Source organism: Homo sapiens, chromosome 5 (genome assembly GCF_000001405.40).
Source record: "Homo sapiens chromosome 5, GRCh38.p14 Primary Assembly".
NCBI lineage: Eukaryota > Metazoa > Chordata > Mammalia > Primates > Hominidae > Homo > Homo sapiens.
The window spans coordinates 101,807,942-101,829,823 of record NC_000005.10 but is presented as its reverse complement, the minus strand read 5'-3'; the positions used below and the strand labels follow the sequence as shown (position 1 = coordinate 101,829,823).

The window sequence follows — 21,882 nt, the reverse complement described above, 5'->3', positions numbered from 1 at the left end:
TGAATAGATATTTCACTAATGAAATATGAATTACTAACAAGCATATAAAATGATGCTAAACTTAATTAGACATCAGGGAGAAGCAATTAAACGAACACTGGAATAACTAGCAGAAAATGCCGTATTTGCTAGAATATAGAAAACTATATCCCTCAATATTGCTTGTGAGAATATAAAATAGTAAAGCTATTTTGGAAATGATTTAACAGTTTCTTAAAAATTAAACATAAACTGACCGTAGGACCCACAAATTCAACTCCTACATATTCTCCAAGAAAAATTTTAAAAATCCACGTGAAGATATATGTGAGAATGTTTTCAGTAACATTATGCATAACAACCGAAAAACAAAAACAATCCAGATGACCATCAACTGTTTCGCAATAAAAAGGAATAAAATTCTAATACCTATTACATACTACTAATAATATGTGCTGCAACATAGATTAACCTCCAGAAATGCTGAGTGGAAGAAGAAAGATGCAAAAGATGACCCATTGTATGGTTCAACTTATATGTAATATCCAGAAGAAGTCTATTTATAGAGACAAAAAGCATAACATTGGCCCTTTGGGCCTGGTAGTGAGATAAGGGAGTGACTGTAAATAGGTACAAGCTTTCATTTTGTGTCATAAAATGTTCTAAAACTGAATTGTGGAAATGGTTACATGACTCCAAAAGTTCACAAAAAATCATTGAATTGTGTACTTGTAATGGGTGAAATATAAAGTATGTACATTATACTTCAGGGTGTCTAGGGGAGGGATAGCATTAGGATAAATACCTAATGTAGGTGACGAGTTGATGAGTGCAGCAAACCACTATGGCATGTGTATACCTAAGTAACAAAACTGCATCTTCTGCACATCTACCCCAGAACTTAAAGTATAATAAAAAAAGAAAAAAAAGTTTTAAAAGATGATTAAATACAATGAACTGCCTTTTATCAGACAGAAGAATTAGGTAAAGCCATTAACTTAATAGGAGACTTACATTCCCAATCTCTTAGTTACCTTTATATCTAAAAAAGGATTTTCTCATTTTAAGCATAGAACAGTCAAAATTTGAATCTTAAAATTTATATCTATTAGAATCTAGTATGATTTATTTTAAAATTTTATTGACATAGAAAATATCAGTTTGACCATTCTATAATTTCAAGTATCTTATCCAAAGATAAGTGATCTTTAATAGAGGAATTTTTGTTTGAATGATTTTCAATAATTAAAGAGATAAAAGCTTTCCATGTGAAATGCCAATGAATTCGGGTAATTCTGACCATTTATATTACTGCCTGTAGTCTACTACATTACCCTGTTCTCTCTTATTGAATCATAATGAGAAAAAAATGTAAGATATGTGATGGATAAAAATATAGAGAAATGTAATTGTTAGAATTAAATAATTCTTCATTCTCCTTTCTCAATTCACTGTTACAAAAATGTTTGAACATGTATTAAATAAAAGGGAAATGCATATAGGTATATGATTGTAATAGTTCAGTTAGATGTTTATCAAATAACATAAAATGATTTAAATTTCTTTCAAGAAAATTAATAATGCCACAGCACTTTCATAGTTTAGGACAATGTTAGTAGTTTTTAACTTTTTAGGACATATTCTTACTCTACCTTTTCCAGTAGTATTGTTTGTTTTCTTCTGAGACTTCTAGCCTTCTTTGATCGTTGGCAAGGTTTATGATTTGATTAGAATTTTATTTATAAAAATAGGTGGTAGGTAAAATTTAGCCTGTGGGTTGTAGTTTGTAGAAACTTGCATAAAATCAGAAGCCTAGTCAATGAGTAAAAATACATTGACTAAAATAAGTGTTGTTCCTTTATCCCAAACCATGGCAAAGTAGTATCTTGTCTTTATTATTATATATTTACAAAGTAAATATATGATATATTAAATATATATTACATATAGAATTTACATTATATATAATGTAAATTATTTAGCTACTTTGGATTATTTGAGAAGCACATTCCAGCTCTGAAAGGAAGAGAAGGGAGAACAAAATGTACTTTGCAGAAATGCTAAAGGAAGGACATCTTTAATGCTGTTTCATAAGGCCGAATGGAGTTAAGATAATCAGCCCTAGAAAATTCTGTAGTTGTTATTTTTGCAACTTTTTCTATTGCTAAATGATTAGAAAATTCAATTATTGAAAAGAACTAGTAAACATAACTTGGCCATCAACAGACCTTGTAGTGTGCTATAGTGTAATAGAAGAGCTTCCATATTTTTCTATTTAAAGGCCATTAAATAGAACCAATTTTCACAAGTTGGGTTTTAATTAGAAACTCCCTTTTTTTTCTTTTATTATTATACTTTAAGTTTTAGGGTGCATGTGCACATTGTGCAGGTTAGTTACATATGTATACATGTGCCATGCTGGTGCGCTGCACCCACTAACTCGTCATCTAGCATTAGGTATATCTCCCAATGCTATCCCTCCCCCCTCCCCCCACCCCACAACAGTCCCCAGAGTGTGATGTTCCCCTTCCTGTGTCCATGTGATCTCATTGTTCAATTCCCACCTATGAGTGAGAATATGCGGTGTTTGGTTTTTTGTTCTTGTGATAGTTTACGGAGAATGATGATTTCCAATTTCGTCCATGTCCCTACAAAGGACATGAACTCATCATTTTTTATGGCTGCATAGTATTCCATGGTGTATATGTGCCACATTTTCTTAATCCAGTCTATCATTGTTGGACATTTGGGTTGGTTCCAAGTCTTTGCTATTGTGAATAATGCTGCAATAAACATATGTGTGCATGTGTCTTTATAGCAGCATGATTTATAGTCCTTTGGTTATATACCCAGTAATGGGATGGCTAGGTCAAATGGTATTTCTAGTTCTAGATCCCTGAGGAATCGCCACACTGACTTCCACATTTGACTGAAACAATGATACGGAGACACATTCCATAAATATTAATTCCAAAAAAATATATAAAAATACTGTTTTTACTCATTCTCACTTTTTACATTCAATTGTTTGCTTTCCACTACCCTATGTAGATATAGATAGACTTAGTTATAAATAAAAATACAGATACATTTGTTTAGCAAATACTTATTTGATATTATGCCAGGCATTAGCAAGGTTTTGGGAGAGGTACATTAGCAAGGTTTGGAAAACTAACTAACAGTAGTGGATAGAAGCATTTCAATTTCTTTTGTTATCAAATTATACCTTCTTTGCTTTGGCAATTACCCTACAATGGCTTAAGATGTGACTTGCAAAATTTCATGTGCTGGGGTAAGGACTGCTGCAATTTCTGCACTCCTTTGAGGATGGTTCACATTCCAGAAGGAGGTGTATAAGTAGTCATTAAATGAGCCAAAACTTTCAAATATTCCTAGATTGTATTTCCCAGATTTTGCTGACTTTCTTCTTTATTTAAAATATTTTTCTTATCTAGTGGCTTTAAATTTACTCTGAAATCACCTTAAATATCTATCTATTTATCTTTTACCTGCTGTTCTAAAATGTAAGTGCACACAAAATTACCTATAGGGCTTGTTAAAAAATGTCTACTTTCCAGATCACAACACTAGAGACACTGATCCAGTGAATCTGGGGCTGAGCCTCAAAAGGCAGCATTTTATGAAGCTCCCTAAGAAGTTCTTATGCAAATGGATCAAGACTATATAGATCAAGAAACCATAGTTTAGATTGATTGCAAAGATTTTCTCCCACTCTGTGGGTTGTCTGATTAGTCTGCTGATTATTTCTTTTGCTGTGCAGAAACTTTTTTAGTTTAATTAAGTCCCATCTATTTATCTCTGTTTTTGTTGCAATTGCTTTTGGGTTCTTGGTTATGAAGTCTTTGCCTAAGCTAACATCTAGAAGTGTTTTTCTGATTTATTGTCTAGAATTTTAATGATTTCAGGTTTTAGATTGGAGTCCTTGATCCATCTTGAGTTGATTTTTGTATAAAAAGATAAATGAGGATCCAGTTTTATTCTTCTACATGTGGCTTGCCAATTATCCCAGCACTGTTTGTTGAATAGGGTGTTCTTTCTCCACGTTATAGTTTTGTTTGCTTTGTCAAAGACCAGTTGACTCTAAGTATTTGGATTTATTTCTGGGTTCTGTTCCATTGGTCTATATGCCTATTTTTATATCAGCACCATGCTGTTTTGTTGATTATGGCCTTATGGTATAGTTTGAAGTCAAGTAATATAATACTTCCAGGTTTGTTCTTTTTGCTTAGTCTTCCTTTGGCCATGCAGGATCTTTTTTCATTCCATATGAATTACAGCATTTTTTTTCTAATTCTGTGAAGAATGATGGTGGTATTTTGATAGGAATTGCATTGAATTTATAGATTGCTCTTGGCAGTATGGTCATTCTCACAATATTGATTCTACCCATTCATGACCATGGGATGTGTTTCCATTTGTTTGTGTCATCTATGATTTTTTTCAGCAGTTTTTTATAGTTTTACAACAAAGTACTAATATCCAGAATCTCCAAGGAAGTCAAACAAATCAGCAACAACAAAACAAACAATCCCATCAAAAAGTGGGCAAAAGACAGGAATAGACAATTCTCAAAAGAAGATATACAAATGGACAACAAACAGATGAAAAAATGCCCAACATCACTAATTATTCTGGGAAATTCAAATAACCACAATTCAATATGACTTCACTCCTGCAAGAATGATCATAATAAAAAAATCAAAAAATAATAGTTGTTGGCTTGGATGTGGTGAAAATGGAACACTTATACACCGTTGGTGGGAATGTAAACTAGTACAACCACTATGGAAAACAGTGTGAAAATTCCTTAAAAGCACATCTACCATTTGATCCAGCAATCCCACTCCTGGGTATCTACACAGAGGAAAATATGTGGTATATGGGTATATATATATACACACATATATATAGTATGTATAGATGTATATATAGTATATATACACATATATATAGTATGTATAGATGTATATATAGTATATATACACATATACATACACGTATATATACACACACACGTATATATATACACATATCTATATACCATGGAATACTACTCAACCATAAAAAGGAACAAAATAATGGCATTTGTACCAACCTGGATGGAATTGGAGACCATTATTCTAAATGAAGTAACTCAGGAATGAAAAACCTAACATTGTGTGTTATCAGTCATAAGTGGAAACTAAGCTATGAGGATGCAAAAGCATAAAAATGATACAATGGACTCTGGGGACTCAATGTAAAGTGTGGGAGCCAGGGTGAGGGATAAAAGACTATACATTGGGTACAGTGTGCACTGCTCAGGTGATGGGTGCACCAAAATTTCAGAACTCACCTCTAAAGAAGTTATTCATGTAACCAAACACCACCTGTCCCCCCCCCAAAACTATTGAAATAAAAAATTAAATTTTAAGAAATAAAAATAAAAACAAATAAAATAAAATAATCTTAATGGTTTACCATTTAATCCTTGAAACAATCCTGGGAGGTAGAATTTTTTTCAGGAGTGTTACACCTTTATCTTTCTGTATGGTTATAAACAAGTCTGATTTTTTTTCATCAAATAGAGATGAGTGGCAAAAAAAGAGAGAAAGAAACAATACTTTATTCCAAACTAATATTTATATGTTCTCTAATTCTAGATTTTACTGAACAACTCTTTCCAAATCAGTGCACAGCTGCCACTTAGCTCAAGAAATATTAAAAGAAGTGTGTAATACACAGTTACAAGGTTTTGGAGAATAAAATGTCTTCATCTCAAGTGAAAATTAAATGAGATAGTCACATATCATGGGTCAGTTATCCATGGGGGTCACATTTCTACACATCTTGCAAGCAGAGACACTGACAGCTTTCATTCTGAGCTCTGTTTTCAAGGATTACAAATAATTAAAAATATAGAAAGTACATTCATTTAGGGCAGAGGGCAGATTTGTTTACTCTCTAGTGTAATGCAGATAATTACTCCAGTGTAACAAAGATAATGAATCTGACCCAGTTGTCCCATCAAGCTGATGTTTATAGTTTCTTTGAATAAATATAGATATTGTTCCTCCCAGTCTTAAAACTTTAGAAATTCTAGTTACATTCATTTTATCTGAGTTCCTTTCTCAGGAAACCAACCAACAGGCTTCAGAGATAGCAAGGAGCTGAAACTCACCAGTTCACTGCATTTGGACAATGAGATGTCAGACCCCTCACCCATCATGATAGCCTAAATGACCACCTGCTCTCTGTTGACCAACCCCTCTCTTATCCTTCTCTAATTCCTGTTTCCCTACGCATGGTTACATTTCTTTCCTGGCATATAAACTCCTCATTTTAATTGGTCAGGAAGATGGATTTGAGACTGATCTCTCATCTCTTTAGCTGCAGCACCCAATTAAAGCCTTCTTACTTGGCAATACTCATTTTTTCAGTGATTGACTTTCTGTGCAGCAAACAGCAGTATGTAGCCCAAACACCTGGTGTTTCAGTCACAATAATTTGCCTAGCTTCAGGAAAAAGAGCAAGTTCACTTACAGATCCATATAAAAGACTCAAGTTTTCTAAACTTAAGTTCTCTCTTCTGTAACACAATTCATTGCAGGTGCAGGCTTCACCTGATGATTTCAGGATGATCAGATCTTCTTGTGGGAACTGAGGCTCAGGCAATAAGGGTAGGAAAATGGTGGTACTCCCATTACTGCTATTTCTATGAGGAATTACTCCCCTTTGTCTCTGATCCAGAAATATTTTGTATTCTTTTAGTATTCATGACATTGTGACAAGCTATCTTGTTAGTTTGCAGGTATTATAAAATCTCAGGTGTTTGTAGTTCTTGATATAACCTATACTTTATAGATTTATAATTAAGTACAACACGTAATTTTCTACTATTGTAGACATCTTTAAACTACATTCCTAAAATAACAGTAAATGGATACTTAAATATGTTTTGTAAAAATGATGAAGACATTAATTTGAATTATATAATGGTCTCATAGAATACATGATTAAGGAAGTATGTAATGTATAATTTTTATACCACTTTTGATGAATATATTTAAACATCTTAAATAAAATAGATTTAGAGGAACTAAAGGAAATTTTCTCTAAAACATAAGTTGAGCATGTTAGAAAAATCAACACAGTTGTCTTATACTTGGATGAAATATATACCTTTTATTTCCTACTTGGAAAGTAATTATGACAAAACTTTCATAAAACGTTTCTCCACATGTGAAATATTAGCTACTTTTTTTGCGTGGAGATCCCCAATGCTCTATTGTGCCTCTGACAATGTCCCTTTAATCTGATGAATGTGTTTGTGTTCAATGCAAAGTAGTTGAAATAACCTAAAATGCCTTATCCTCCTGATGTGATATGAATTTACAGAAGGTTCTAAAGAAAATACTGCTTGGGGCTGAGAACATTATGAATATTTCAGTGAAACTGAAACTGTCAAAATATAGAAGTAAATGCCTGTTGGTTATGTAGAATAAATGAATGGAAAGATGACAGTTGAAAATTATAATACATCCTTCCCAACAGATTTGTTCTGTATTGGAGACCTTACTGGGAAATTGAAATGGAAGAACTATAATAAATTTGAGAAATAACAGTGATTTAAAGTTATATAATAAATTCATTAACCTATGATGAACAGAGATATTATTAAACTTGAAGAGATAACTACTAGTAGCCATTATGATATTGTAAATAATGGTCTGCTAGAAAAAAAGGTCCATTTTAAATTTCTTGTTGCATAGAGGGGATTTTACATTATAGTAATATAGAAACAAGAGAAAATTTGTATTGTATAAAATGAAAGTTTTAATTATCTATCCATTCATTTTGCATTCAACATTTATTTGGCATTTACTTTTTGTCAGCCATTGAGGGATTAGGGATAGTAATTAGAGATAGTAATTACCATTAAAGTTAAAAAAGAAGAATAGAATTTAAGAATATAAGGATATATGTGAGGTCTAAAGGGTAGATAAGTTAACATTTAAGTATATTCTATGTAATAAGTACTAGATAATATTAATCTCATATGGCATAAAAGACACACTGAGAAAGGCAGCTATGGTTTGAATGTGTCCCCCAAAGTTTGTGTTACAAACTTAACCCCCAGTGCAACAATATTAGTAAGTGGAAACTTTGAGATAATTAGGGTCATGAGGCTCTGCTCTCATGAATTGATTAATGTAGTTATTGTAGGAATGGGTTCCTTATGAAAGTGAATTGAAGCCAAGTATAGTGGTATATGCCTGTAGCCTCAGCTACTCAAGAGGCTGAGGCAGGAGGGTTTATTGTTCTCAAGAGTTTGAGGCCAGCCTTGAAAACTTAGAAACAGCCTATCTCTAAAAAAAATAAAAATAGAAATAGAGTGAGCTGGGCCCTCTTTTGCTGTCTTGAATGTATTGCCTCACCACTTAATGCTTTCCACTGTCTCCTGATGCAGCAAGAAGGCCCTCCCCAGATCCAGACCCTTGATCTTGGACTTCCCAGCCTTCAGAACTGTGAGGAATCAATCTCTGTTCTTTATAAATTACCCAGTCTGTTATTTATACTGTATTCTGTGCTAGCAGCACAAAATGGACTAAGACTGATGTCCTAACCCAGAATAAGTTATTAGAGATATCCTGAAGTAAGCCTTATAGGGCAAGTAGGGCCCATGTGAACCCAATAGAGTAGAGGGCCATGACAATGTATAGGCAAAGAAAAGAAAAAAACGAAAGACATAATCCAAATTTGAGAACTGCAAGTAGTTCATTGTAGTGACACTATAGAGTACAGATGGCCATAAAATCAACTCTGGTCCAAACCCTGTCTCTTACTTTTTTTTTTTTTTTTTTTTTTTTGAGACGGAGTCTCGCTCTGTTGCCCAGGCTGGAGTGCAGTGGCGCGATCTCAACTCACTCACTGCAAGCTCCGCCTCCCGGGTTCACGCCATTCTCCTGCCTCAGCCTCCCTAATAGCTGGGACTACAGGCGCCCACCACGACGCCCGGCTAATTTTTTGTGTTTTTAGTAGAGACGGGGTTTCTCCGTGTTAACCAGGATGGTCTCAATCTCCTGACCTTGTGATCCGCCTGCCTCGGCCTCCCAAAGTGCTGGGATTACAGGCGTGAGCCACCGCGCCCAGCCCGTCTCTTACTTTTAACAAGTTACTTGCTTTATCTAGTGTCCTCTTGTCCTTATATAAAAAATACTGTAGGTAAACAAGTTCTTTAACTTTTTTTCAAATTATAATTATTTATGATCCTATGGATTTCAAAACATTTGCTTGAAATTCTACTATGGACTAAAAACTTTTTCTAAAATGCTGTTAATATCGTATTATCTGTGAAGTTAATCAACCTACGCAAAATTTTAAGACCAGTGGAGATCATTTTATCAGCTTTCTCATATCTTTACTCAGTTTAATTCCTGAAGCCTAAACTGTGTTATCCAAAAAACATTTTATGAAACTTTATTTGGCATATCCATTAAAAGCAGGAAATCCAAATCCTGCATCCAGTCGTGTGTTATTTCTTACCTACCAAAGTTACTTGTTCAATAAACTATATTTATACATTTTTACTAAGCAATATAACAAGTTAATTCATAATGAAAAAATCAATCAATCAATCAATCAGTTATCCTAAATAGAATTTCTTTTCCAATTTTATTTTGCAGATTATTGCTGGAATGAGCTTTGGTTTAATCCAGATACACATATTACAGATGGTGGAGTGAGGTCACAGTAATAAGTACTGAAAAAAAATTGGTGGTTAGAACCTTTTAATAGCTTCCATGAAAGCGTTCTTCTACCTACCTAGGCATAAGGAAAATCCTCATGTCCTTAACATTAGCCAGGTGCAGACATAACTCTGTGGGTTTTGGGTTTAAACATAAGAAAGACAGAAGAAAATAGGCCAGAGAATTAGAAGACTTCGTTAGTGCTGTTTTTCTCCTATTTAGTAGCAGTGTCCCTAAGTAATCCATTTACCTTCCAGAACTTTAGTTCTCTCTTCTTTTAGCACGTAGAACATAACTACCTTTAGTTCTGTTGTAATAATCGAATGAAGAAATATATTTGAAAGCTCTTTATAAAGTCTGTAGATAAGAAAAGTGAATGAGGTGGAATAGATAAGGAAGTGGATGAGGTGAAGGTCATAACTTTGAGGAACGGAGAGAAAACTTTGAGGGTCACGTGGGGCAGTCAGGAGAGTTTATTTGAAGGTAAAGGTGACTGGTTATTTAAAGGGTTCCATGAATTGATGAATTGTGTATTTTTCAGTTGCCAGGTATTATAACTTAGATTACTGTAAATAATACAATTTTATGAATATGTTTTAATTGCATCTAACTCTTGCTAGGAGCACAGGTGTGACATCACCCTGATGATATCCTCCACCTCCAAGATTTATTTTCCATACTCATCCAGGATATGAAAATGGTCGGAAAAGAGCTGGCAAAGAGGATATAGACATAGCCCCACACATACCACAAGGCTGCACCACCTCCATTCATTCCTGAAAATTATTTGGTTATCTGAGGACCACTCCATCCCTAACACTGTCAAGACATTTATTTACCCTCTCAAAAACCACAATATTAAAATAAGCCCAGCATCTGTTTCACCTTTTTGTGTTCTAGTTGCAACTAATTCTTTATTTAAATTTTACTTAAGCCCATTTATGGTGTTACTTACAACTTGGACTACCTTGAATAAAACTTTTACTAAAAAGGCCTTGGAATCCAAATTGCAATATCATGGGCACTCTTTTTAGTATTCACAAGAATCCCCTTTATTGTAAAGAACTTAGCAATATTCTGTTATTCCTCCTGTAGTCTCTGGGTTACCCATGATGACCAAAAATGGTCCATTGGTTCTAAGCAAGAAATTACCTGCCTCAGCTTCACACTATATGCTATTAGAGTGACAATTGGTGATCGCATATTTTGATCACCTGGAAATAGAGTCTCTCACAGGCCCTTAGCCTGTAACCCTCCATTTCCAGATGTCCATTATGCCTTGGTTTATAGAAGCTTTATTCTATGGCTAGGCACAGCCAAAAGCCTTGTTGTTGAAAAGAAAATTGTACCTATAAGCTAGAACCAGTACTGGACAGTTTGGTGTATCATATTTAGTCCATTGCCAAATGACATGATGCTGGAGAAGGCCACTCATCTCTTAGATCTCTTGACTACTTGGGACATTTCCTGTGAATTTCAAAGGGAAATTGTACGTTTATGGATGACAGTGCCACCATTACATGTCATGAAGCTTGTTGGGGAGCTACTGTTTTTCACCGCTTAACTGAAATACCTGATAAATGATGAGGCCCAAGGGTTAGCACAATTACCTGAACTTCGAGTAGTCATCTTAACAATGAATTTTCTTGAAAATAATAAGCCCTGTCAGAACACTTTTTACAGACTCTTGGGCAATGGCCATTTATTTGACTGTCTGATATAGCCAATGGAAACCACAATTTCTTATTCTAGTGTATTCCTTTAGGGCAAAGAATTCTGGAGTCTCATACTGCACAGATTTTGAACATGTGTACTACAAATCAAAGACACACATGTCTCTACACATACTAAAGCTACAATGTAAGTCCCCACAAACATGCTCCTTTCCCCTTCAGAATTGGTCATTATTATTTTGAGTAATGTTATTCGAATTACATAATTCCTCTTTAGGCATTATTAAAATGAATGGTCAAAGCATTCAGTTTATTACTTAAAATACATAATGCTGGGCTTTTGAACAAGATGTTCAATGGAACTTCTGGCTTCTTTATCAACCTGAGGCTACAGGCCTCATAGAATATCCCAATGATTTATCTAAACAGTTTCAAATGCAAGTAAATGAAGCAAGCAATTTCAATCATCACTTAAACATCAAAAGTAAATTATAATAAAGCATTTTACTCTAATTTTGATGATTGACTTCTGATATCTTTCAATCCCCATTTCCCCTTTCTTTCCCACAGCTGGGAATGCTGATAAGAAAGCCTGCATGCTCTCTTATTTGGTGACGGTAGGAAGCTGAAACCTGGCTCTTGTGAGGCACCCTTTAGCGCAGCTTTATCCCTTCACCACTATAAAACCCCAAGCCAGTCACTCCTCTCTGATATTTTGGCTCTATCTGCACTTACTTGGAATTATGTGAGAGCCTTTCCCATATTCTTTCCTCAAAACCTTCTTATATGAGTAAGAAATCTGTTTATGCCCTCTTGGTGCATGTGTGGTATCACCAGTCTATATATCTACATCAAATATGGGGTTAGGTGGTCCCTCTCCTTACTGTTAAATGACAGCAATGACTTACCTGTAATTTCAGCCTACCTTTCAAAAAGATAGTCCCATGTGGCTATTTTTTAAATGAAGTGAATGTGTAACTTTGAGATCCAAGCATGTAGTAGCTGGTGTGTCTCTTTCATATCTCATTTTCCCTGCTACGTATCCATGGGACCGTGTTTTACAGTTGATTTAACTAGGTCTTGAGACTAAGAAAAGATACCTGATCTTCATCAGACTATAAAGAGTGACAAATATACTTTTATAGTTAAGTCGCTGAAATTTTTTTTACCTGTCTATTAGGACAGCTAGAGTAAATTACCTTAATGCACAAGATGGTGTTTTTTGCTTCACATATTCTCACTCTATTCCATGCTTGGACCCGCCTGAATGTTATTCCAGCCCTCTGTATAGTGTGAGCAGATAGGCACTTCGCTACTGTGTCAGGAAAAACTTCTTAAAAGTTTTCTGCTAACAGTCACTGAGTGTGAATTTCCTTGTTTTTGGTAGTTTTGTGTGATGAAAAACTATCTGGTAACTCAGATCCAGCACTTAGTTGTAGAATGACTTAGACAAAGGTGATAATACAGGGTTTATATAGATATGAAATAATAAAGGTGGTATCACAGTTTTGAGGAGGACTCCAAAGAGGATGAAAAATGTCCATCTAAGGGTGATACTGTAAAGTGATGATGAGGTGAAGTGCCAGTTGGCTATTCATTGAATGTTGCTTTTGCCTCCTTCCCCAGCAGACATGCCAGCTACATGCAATCAGAACACCTTGCAGAATTTTCAGAATTCCTCATTTTGAGCCTCTCAGGAGATCCAGAACTGCAGCCCCTTCTTGGGCTGTTTCTGTCCATGAACCTGGTCACAGTGCTTGGAAACCTGCTCATTATCCTGGCCATCAGTTCTGACTCCCACCTCCACAAGCCTATGTACTTCTTACTCTCCAAATTGTCCATGGCTGCCATTTGTTTTGTCTTCACCATGATCCAAAAGATGATGGTAAACCTCAGGGCACAGAGCAAAGACATCTTTACTCAGCCAAGTGGTAGTCCAATTCCATTCTAAATGTGTAGTCTTATCAGATTTCTTCTAATTTAGCAGAAATCTGTTGTTTTAATCTTCGAATACTCACTGGTTCTAATTCTCCTATTTGAATCTGAAGATGTAAACTAATTATTCTTTTGTATGAGCCTTTCAAAATAATTGAAGACAGTTATGTCCTTTTCTTGATAATCACCATACTTTCTTCACACTAATTGATACACAATTGTTAATAAGTCATGGATTTTCTACTCAAACAACCTTTATTCTATCATCTTATGCTTCTGGTTATGTAACAGTTGACTCTCAATGCTTTATTTATTTTTTAAACATGATGATTACTATTAACCTCTTTGTAAGATTTAAAAATATCTTTATGCACAGTAGTATCTCAATAAATTACAACTATTATTTTAAAAAATAAAATAAAGGTGGTATCTATGAGATATATGAGATGATGTTTGTAAATAAAGTCAGTTTACATGTACATGGTTTTATATGTGATAAATTTACATGTAAAAGGCTGCTGTCCATTTCAAGAACCCTGACATTTTATTTATTTTCATTATCGCAGTTATCATTGTTATTTTTTCTTGTGTTAAATCAGTTCCTAATCCAGAAACAACTTAGCTATAAATGTTTATTTGATAAGTTCCTAGGATAACCTTGATTGAATGAGGTATAGCTTTATTTTGCTGTTATGGAGAGTAAATTGAAAAAGAAGAACCTCTTGATTTGGATTTTTTTTTCTTGTAGACAAAACCACAGTCAACATGAATTCCAAGTGGTAACACTTAGTGTCCTGGGATGGAGTGCTGAGAGAAATCCGGAGGATTCAGGTGAGAAAACATTAAGATGATAGTAATTTGTAGTATATATAACTTAGATTGGCATTTGTAGCCTTTATCTGTATATCTACTTTTGTTTCCTATAATTCTGTAAAGTGTTCTATTATTCTATTATTATTTTTTATAGAAAAGCCAAATGAAGCTCAGGCAGGTTATATGACTTAGATAAAATTTGTTGGTTCATGAATAATGAAGCTGAGTCTTCGATTCCAGAAGCTGTACATTTCTTCTTTTGAAGAATAAAAACCTTCTTAAAAGTTTTGCTCATATGTTGTGTGTGGTGTATAAATGAGATGCATCAATTTTACTTAGAAAAATACAAATTTCCTACACTTTAGTCCTCCTGTTGTTCCTTTGTCTGAAACAGAATGGTAAGTAGTTAGAAAAATCAGCATGCAAGCATGAAATTGGAAATGGCAGGCTAACACTCTTAAATTTTATTAGAGGATGAAAAAAAATAAAATAACCCAAAACCTCTTACACAAAATGTTTGATGTATGTGGCCTACTCCCCAATTTTTAAATACTGGGTATTTCTATTTCATTTTTCAAAAATATGACTGCCATACAGAACCAATTCTGCATTGTTTAAGGTAATAAGAGATGAAAGTGTTGCTCTGTAGATGGTATGCGGAACTACCTATGGTGTCATGCATTATTCTATCAGACATGAAGTGCCTGGGTACAATGATCATGGGGACTAACAAGTCTTTGGTTTTTATTTATAAGTACAATTAACACTATGGGTTATCTTCTAGCCTGTTTTGTTCATGAATTAATCAATTCCTCCTTTGCCACGGTCACACCATGTCAGCCAACATGATATGCTAAATGTTGGAGCTATCTACTAGGCTAGTGTCACTTTTCCATTTCTGCATTTCAATGTCTTAATGATCGGTGAAATTACATCTTCATTTTAAGCTCCCTTGTTATTGAAAACACAAGACTTTCTATTAATTGAAGCAAAATAAGAGCTAAATAACCTATTTAGCACTTTCAGACTAACCATGTTACTCTGAAACCTCTGTATCAGCTCCTCCCTAACTGAAGTTGTCAGTGATAAGAATGAGAAAATAGAAGCAACTAATTCAGTAAGAATATTTTTTAAATTATGAATTTTAAAATTGTTAGTGTTGGCAGTGTATCCAAATGTATCATTATGCAAATGTCCTTTATCTTCTGAAGCATTAGGAGACTTCAGTCGTAGTTTTATCTTTTATAGACTAATGACACCTACGATGATAGTAAAGGAGTTGGGACACAAAAAATTTATTTATATGAGACTCTTACATATGGTGGGCCATGAATCAGAGGATAGGCCTTAAAGGTAAAGTTGAATCTACAATAATAATATAGATAAAGTTTGTCACTATCCTCAAAATCTTATAGCACAGCCAGGTCATTTCAATGACTGTCTTTAGTCAGTTGTAATAGAATAAAATGAGGATTAGAATTAATGGAAGAAAAATGTTTGTCTTTAAAGAAAATTTACTTAGTGCTAGCCATGCAGGAACACATTCATATTGCCAAATATCTTGATATCACTAAATAACTTATAAATATAGAATTTTATGTGAAATCTCCTAACTAAAAAACATTGATGACAGAGTAATGATAGAATTTTTAAAAAGAAAACAATAGAAAATAAAATTTTTTTAAAAAAATATCTAGCTCTAAAGCCTAAGATTCCATTTTTTGCCACCTCAGCTTAGGTTAGTGCATTGGATTTTTATAATTCCAAACAAAAGACATATATCTTTTCATCAATAATATACTGTCACTGAGTCCTGAGAGGTAGTAAAGTAAGATGTTTTTGAGGAATAAACTTGACACTCAAATGCTGAAAATCTGTACAAGTATTAAATTGCTCAGTTGATAGTTACCTTGTATACTGCAATGAGCTACTACTTGTTGGAACGTAGAAAACTCCCTTAAGGAAATTTAAGTTTTATTCTGTATATGAAAGGCTCTGAAAATCAATTTAACTACCAATGATGGCTCCCAGCTATCACATAGGATTTATACACAAAAGCATAAAATAGAATACAAAGTGAATGTTTATATTTGTGAATAGCTTTGAAGAAACATATCATGAATGTCACTAGTCTAATATGATTAGATCATGTAAAATATCATTAAGGTAATAAATGTTTATGGTGATTAGCTATGTAAAAAGAGCAATGTAAGGATTACCAGAAATCCTTATCAATTAAAAATCAATTCTACGTAACGCATAACATGTAAAACATATATGCAGCCGAAAATCTTAATGAAACTTTGACACATTCTTGGGCTACTGTTTAGTGTGTGGTCTTAAGATCATCCGTTTTTCTGTCTCTATAAATATGCCATACTCTATTTTAAGTTTTCAATGTCATTTGAATAGAGCATTATTGCTTTGAGACAGCAAATCAGATATTCTCATAAAGGGTGCATTTCTAAAAAACAGGCTTATTCCAGGTTACTACAAGTCAAATTGACAAACCAACAGGTACTTCCTGAAAACTTGTTTAGTGGATCACCTGCTAAAATCCATTATGGATATTAGCGAGACATGGTTTAGGAACTCAGAATCTGATGTGTAATAAAGATACTCAGTCATAAATAATTAGAGGACAATATAAAAAGTGTAGAATAAATGCTCTGTTATTTCAAGGGGGAGAAAAGTCCATGTTACTTGGATAATCAGCAGGGCTTTAATGGAGTACATGTGGCTAAGCCAGATCTTGAAAGAGAAGTAGAATTTTAGCAAGTGGGAAGAGCATAAAGAGCCATCAATAAATGTAGGCTATTCTCTATCTCATGGGATGAACATCAGACTATTACATTAGAATTTGTTCTTGGAACATAACTTAGGCATTAGTTTACCTCAGCATACCAGGTTTCTTTGATAACGAACTACTCTGTGACAAGGACAGATTTTTTTTTTAAGCATTTAGTAGCTGGCATATGCCAGTAAGGGCACATTTTTGTTAATGAAGAGAAACATTATATATCTTGGCATTTTATAGCATGGTATGTGTATCAGTCAGAGTTCTCTAAAGAAAGAAAACCAATAAAATACATGTGTTTGTACTAAGAAATTTATCTTAAGGAATTGGTTCATGTGACGGGGAGCTGGCAAGTTTGAAATCTATAATACAGGCAAGTCCTAAATTTTTAGTACATGCTGGCATGCTGGAAACTCAAACAGGAGATGATTCTTCAATCTTGAGGCAGAATTTCTTCTCCTGGAATACTGTTTTCATCCTTAAGTCATTTCAACAATTGGATGAGGATCATCACATTATCAGAGGTATCTGTTTAACTTAAAGTCAACTGATTATAGATATTAAGCACATCTACAAAATACTCTCCCAACAACACCTAGGTTAGTGTCTTTTTACATAACTGAATAGCCTATTCGAGTGAATCAACAAAACTAAGCACAATAGTGTGTATTCAGGCTGTGGATTCTGGAGTCAGACATCTTGGAAATGGACCTAGATACCACCAGCATGTGAAGTTGGGCGTCTCAGACAGTCTGCTTCTCAACTATTTCTTGAAAATAAGGATGAATATAAGATAAGCTATATCATGAGGAGGGTTTGAGTGTAAATATGCTAATATATGGTAAGCGCTTGGAAAAGTCATTGGTACAGAGTAAGCGTTGAGTAAGCATTAGCTCTTACTGGCATCAGGGTATATAATCCTGTGTAGGGATAACTTGACAGCAACAGAATTTGAGATGTGATATCTTGTTTGTACTCTCTCATAATCTTAGTAGAAAATATTAGTGTTATAAGAAAAAACAACAACAAAAACTAGGGACACAAATAGATGGAGTACTAATGTAGTTTTTTAAAATCCCAAAATCCTTCTCTCTGTTAAAAAAAAAAAACTTTACATCAAGTTGTCATTTGTTTGTTTAGTTATTTCTTTATTTTAGCTATGCAGCATTTGGTTGTAACCATGATTTATGATTCACAGGTGAACTTAGCCAAATATCTGAAAACATCTGCACTTGATCCATATGTTTACATCTAACTACCAGATGTTAAACATGTCAGAAGTTTATATTTATTTTCATTGTCTCAATACTTTTGTGAATTAGCCAATTCACAAAACTGCAGTAAACTAAAAGAACAAACCAGAAAATAACTAGAAATAAGTTTTTAATAAAATTGAAAATATTCAAGAGTCATGAGCATTCCAAAATACACTTCAGGATTTTGAGCATAATCTGCCACTAGAATATGAGATAAGAAATAAAATTCATCTTACACAAAAGTTTTGTTGTTGATTTTACTTCAAGGAAAAACCATTTAACATATTGATAAACATAGAGCTAAACAGAAAATTATAATTTGAAATATGTTGATAGACATTCTGTTAAAAAATAGGATTCTGAATTCTACACCTCTAAAGTTTCAAAAGGCATATCATCCCAGTGAAGTCCCCAAAAATTCCTATAGTAAGAAAGAAAGCAGTTTTAAATTCCATGTTCATAAAACATAGTTGATCACAGGGTTTGTGACCTCTTTGCCATAGGATCCTAGTTCATTGATTCTGAATTATTGGTTGAGGGTAAAGACCCATTTAAGACCTATCATTTCTGTTTTAAACACACTTCCCAGGTAAGTGTTCTGTCCATTGACGTTTATGAAACATACACCAGGCTGGGTGTGGTGGTGCACACCTGCAATCCCAACACTTTGGGAGCCTGCGGCAGGCAGATCACCTGAGATCGGGAGCTCTAGACCAGCCTGACCAATATGGAGAACCCCATCTCTACTAAAAATGCAAAATTAGCCAGGCGTGGTGGTGCATGCCTGTAATCCCTGCTACTCAGGAGGCTGAGGCAGGAGAATCACTTGAACCCAGGAGGTGGAGGTTGCGGTGAGCCGAGATTGAGTCATTGCACTCCAGCCTGGGCCACAAAAGTGAAACTCTGTCTTAAAAAAGCAAAACAACAAAAAACATCCACCTAAGCTATGACACAGGAAGTAGGAAAGCTGGAGCTGTGGAAGGGAAATATTAGATAATATCTGTTGGGCTGGCCTCATAGAAGAAAACAAAACAACACTAACTCTCCACACCAAATAATTTTGTAGACTCCCAAGAGAACCACTGTGAAAATATACCATCCATTTGTGATAGTTCCTTGAATTTAATGATTCATTTCTTGAGGTAGGAAGATAATCTCTTTAATCTATAAATTTGCTAAAATAACTATCGAGTATCACCCTAATGTGACTCTCTGAAAGGGTGACAGACTTTGCACTATAATGCAGTTATAGTCCACCTGTTATTAGTTCTCCTTTTGCATTTCTGACACCTATATGTTTAAATTGCATTACTCTTCAAGATTCCAGTTTGGTTTCTCCAACCATGTTCAGATGAGATATCTGAATACTTTCCTTCACTTTATTCTCTGTGCTTGTGAATGTGACAGGTATGTATGCATGCAAACAAACCTTTTTCTACAGATATTCTAGGTTCAAAAACCTTGATTAATTAGGATAGATGCTAAGCCAAAACCTACCAAAACAAAAAGAAATATTAAGATACTATAAAGAAGCAAATTTAAAAATTGTTTCTTTTGAAACATGCTCTAAAAGGTTATGAACAATATAGGAATCTGCTAACACTTGTTCCTTGAATACTGTCTTCATAAAAGTGCAAAATAATTCATTGTTCCAATAAATTTTACCTGAACATACCACCTTTTTTTGACATGTTATCTGCTCCTTGAGTTTGTTACTAGGTAGAAAGCAAGCAAGCAAACACGTGTTCAGGAAAGTTATCTTTTCATGGTTTCTTTAGCAGCTTGGGTGAGTTAAAAAGTAGTTTAAATTATGTTTTCTGAACCTTAACAGAGGTGAAAGAAAGACTTCTGGAGAGAAAAATATTTTAAAAATAATTTCACTTTTTTAAATACTTAAATCTTTTAAAAACAAAGTAAATGAAAATGTAGATGCATATTTCTAAATTTATTATTCTTTCTTTTCTGAGCAATCTATGATCCTACAACTTCTGGTGCATGCTTCACTTATTTTTAATCATTACTGAGCAAATTGGCAATCCTAGCTGTACGTTTCCATTATTTATACTGTCACTGTGATGGCAGTAGAACTTAACATGCCATTTGTTTATGATGCGCCCATGTAATACAGTGGCTGAAACCTTGAATTCCTGTTGTATTAATGTGTTTGTATTTATGCAGAACTTAGAATATCATCGTTTTAAATATTTAAAGTGTCAGGTTTAAATACTGGTAAGTTAGCTAAAATAAAAATATTTCAATATGTATAGTAGGAAATACACAATAGAACATACATACACAATATAATAAAATACATGTATATATTCTTTTTTATTATACTTTAAGTTCTGGGATACATGTGCAGAATGTGCAGGTTTGTTACATAGGTTTATATATGTCATGGTGGTATGCTGCACCCATCAACCCATCATTTAGGTTTTAAGCCCCATATACATTAGGTACTTGCCCTAATGTTCTCCCTCCCCTTGCCCCTCACCCCCTGACAGACCCCCGGTGTGTGATGTTCCCCTCCCTGTGTCCATGTGTTCTCATTGTTCAGCTCCAACTTATGAGTGAGAACATGTGGTGTTTGGTTTTCTGTTCCTGTGTTAGTTTGCTGAGAATGACGGTTTCCAGCTTCATCCATTTCCCTGCAAAGGACATGAACTCTTTCTTTTTTATGGCTGAATAGCATTCCATGGTCTATATGTGCCACATTTTCTTTGTCCAGTCTATCATTGGTGGGCATTTGGGTTGGTTCCAAGTATTTGCTATTGTGAATAGTGCTGCAGTAAACATACATGTGCATGTGTCTTTATAGTAGAATGATTTATAATCCCTTGGGTATATATCCAGTAATGGGATTTCTGGGTCAAATGGTATTTCTGGTTCTAGATCCTTGAGGAATCGCCACACTGTCTTCCCCAATGGTTGAACTAATTTACACTCCCACCAATAGTGTAAAAGCGTTCCTATTTCTCCACATCCTCTCCAGCATCTGTTGTTTCCTGAATTTTTAATGTTTGCTATTCTAAATGGCGTGAGATGGTATTTCATTGTGGTTTTGATTTGCATTTTTCTAATGACCAGTAATGATGAGCTTTTATTCATATGTTTGTTGGCTGCATAAATGTCTTCTTGAAGTGTCTGTTCATATCCTTCACCCACTTTTTGATGGGGTTGTTTGTTGTTTGCTTGTAAATTTGTTTAAATTCTCTTGTAGATTCTGGATATTAGCCCTTTGTCAGATGAATAGTTTGCAAACATTTTCTCCCATTCTGTAGGTTGCCTGTCCACTCTGATAATATTTTCTTTTGCTGTGCAGAAGCTCTTTAGTTTAATTAGATCCCATTTGTCAATTCTGGCTTTTGTTGCAATTGCTTTTGGTGTTTTAGTCATGAAGTCTTTGTCCATGCCTATATCCTGAACAGTATTACCTAGGTTTTCTTCTAAGGTTTTTATGGTTTTTGGCTTTACATTTAAGTCTTTAATCCATCTTGAGTTAGTTTTTGTATAAGGTATAAGGAAGGGGTCCAGTTTCACTTTTCTGCTTATGGCTAGCCAGACATAATCATCAGATTCTCCAAGGTTTAAACGAAGGAAAAAATGTTAAGGGCAGCTATGGAGAAAGGTCAGGTTACCTATAGAGGGAAGTCCATCAGACTAATAGCAGATCTCTCTGC

General features: G+C 34.3%; 1 long non-coding RNA gene and 1 pseudogene across 2 annotated transcripts in view; both read left to right on the top strand.

The window, feature by feature from the left end:
• LOC105379102 (uncharacterized) overlaps window positions 1-21,882 on the top strand; it is a 328,753-nt gene that overhangs the window by 24,512 nt on the left and 282,359 nt on the right. For both annotated transcript variants that reach the window (XR_007058891.1, XR_948628.3), the window contains exon 2: window positions 14,085-14,167. This is a non-coding gene — a long non-coding RNA (uncharacterized LOC105379102). The remainder of the gene's footprint in view (window positions 1-14,084; window positions 14,168-21,882) is intronic.
• Window positions 13,044-13,941, top strand: OR7H2P (olfactory receptor family 7 subfamily H member 2 pseudogene; annotated as a pseudogene).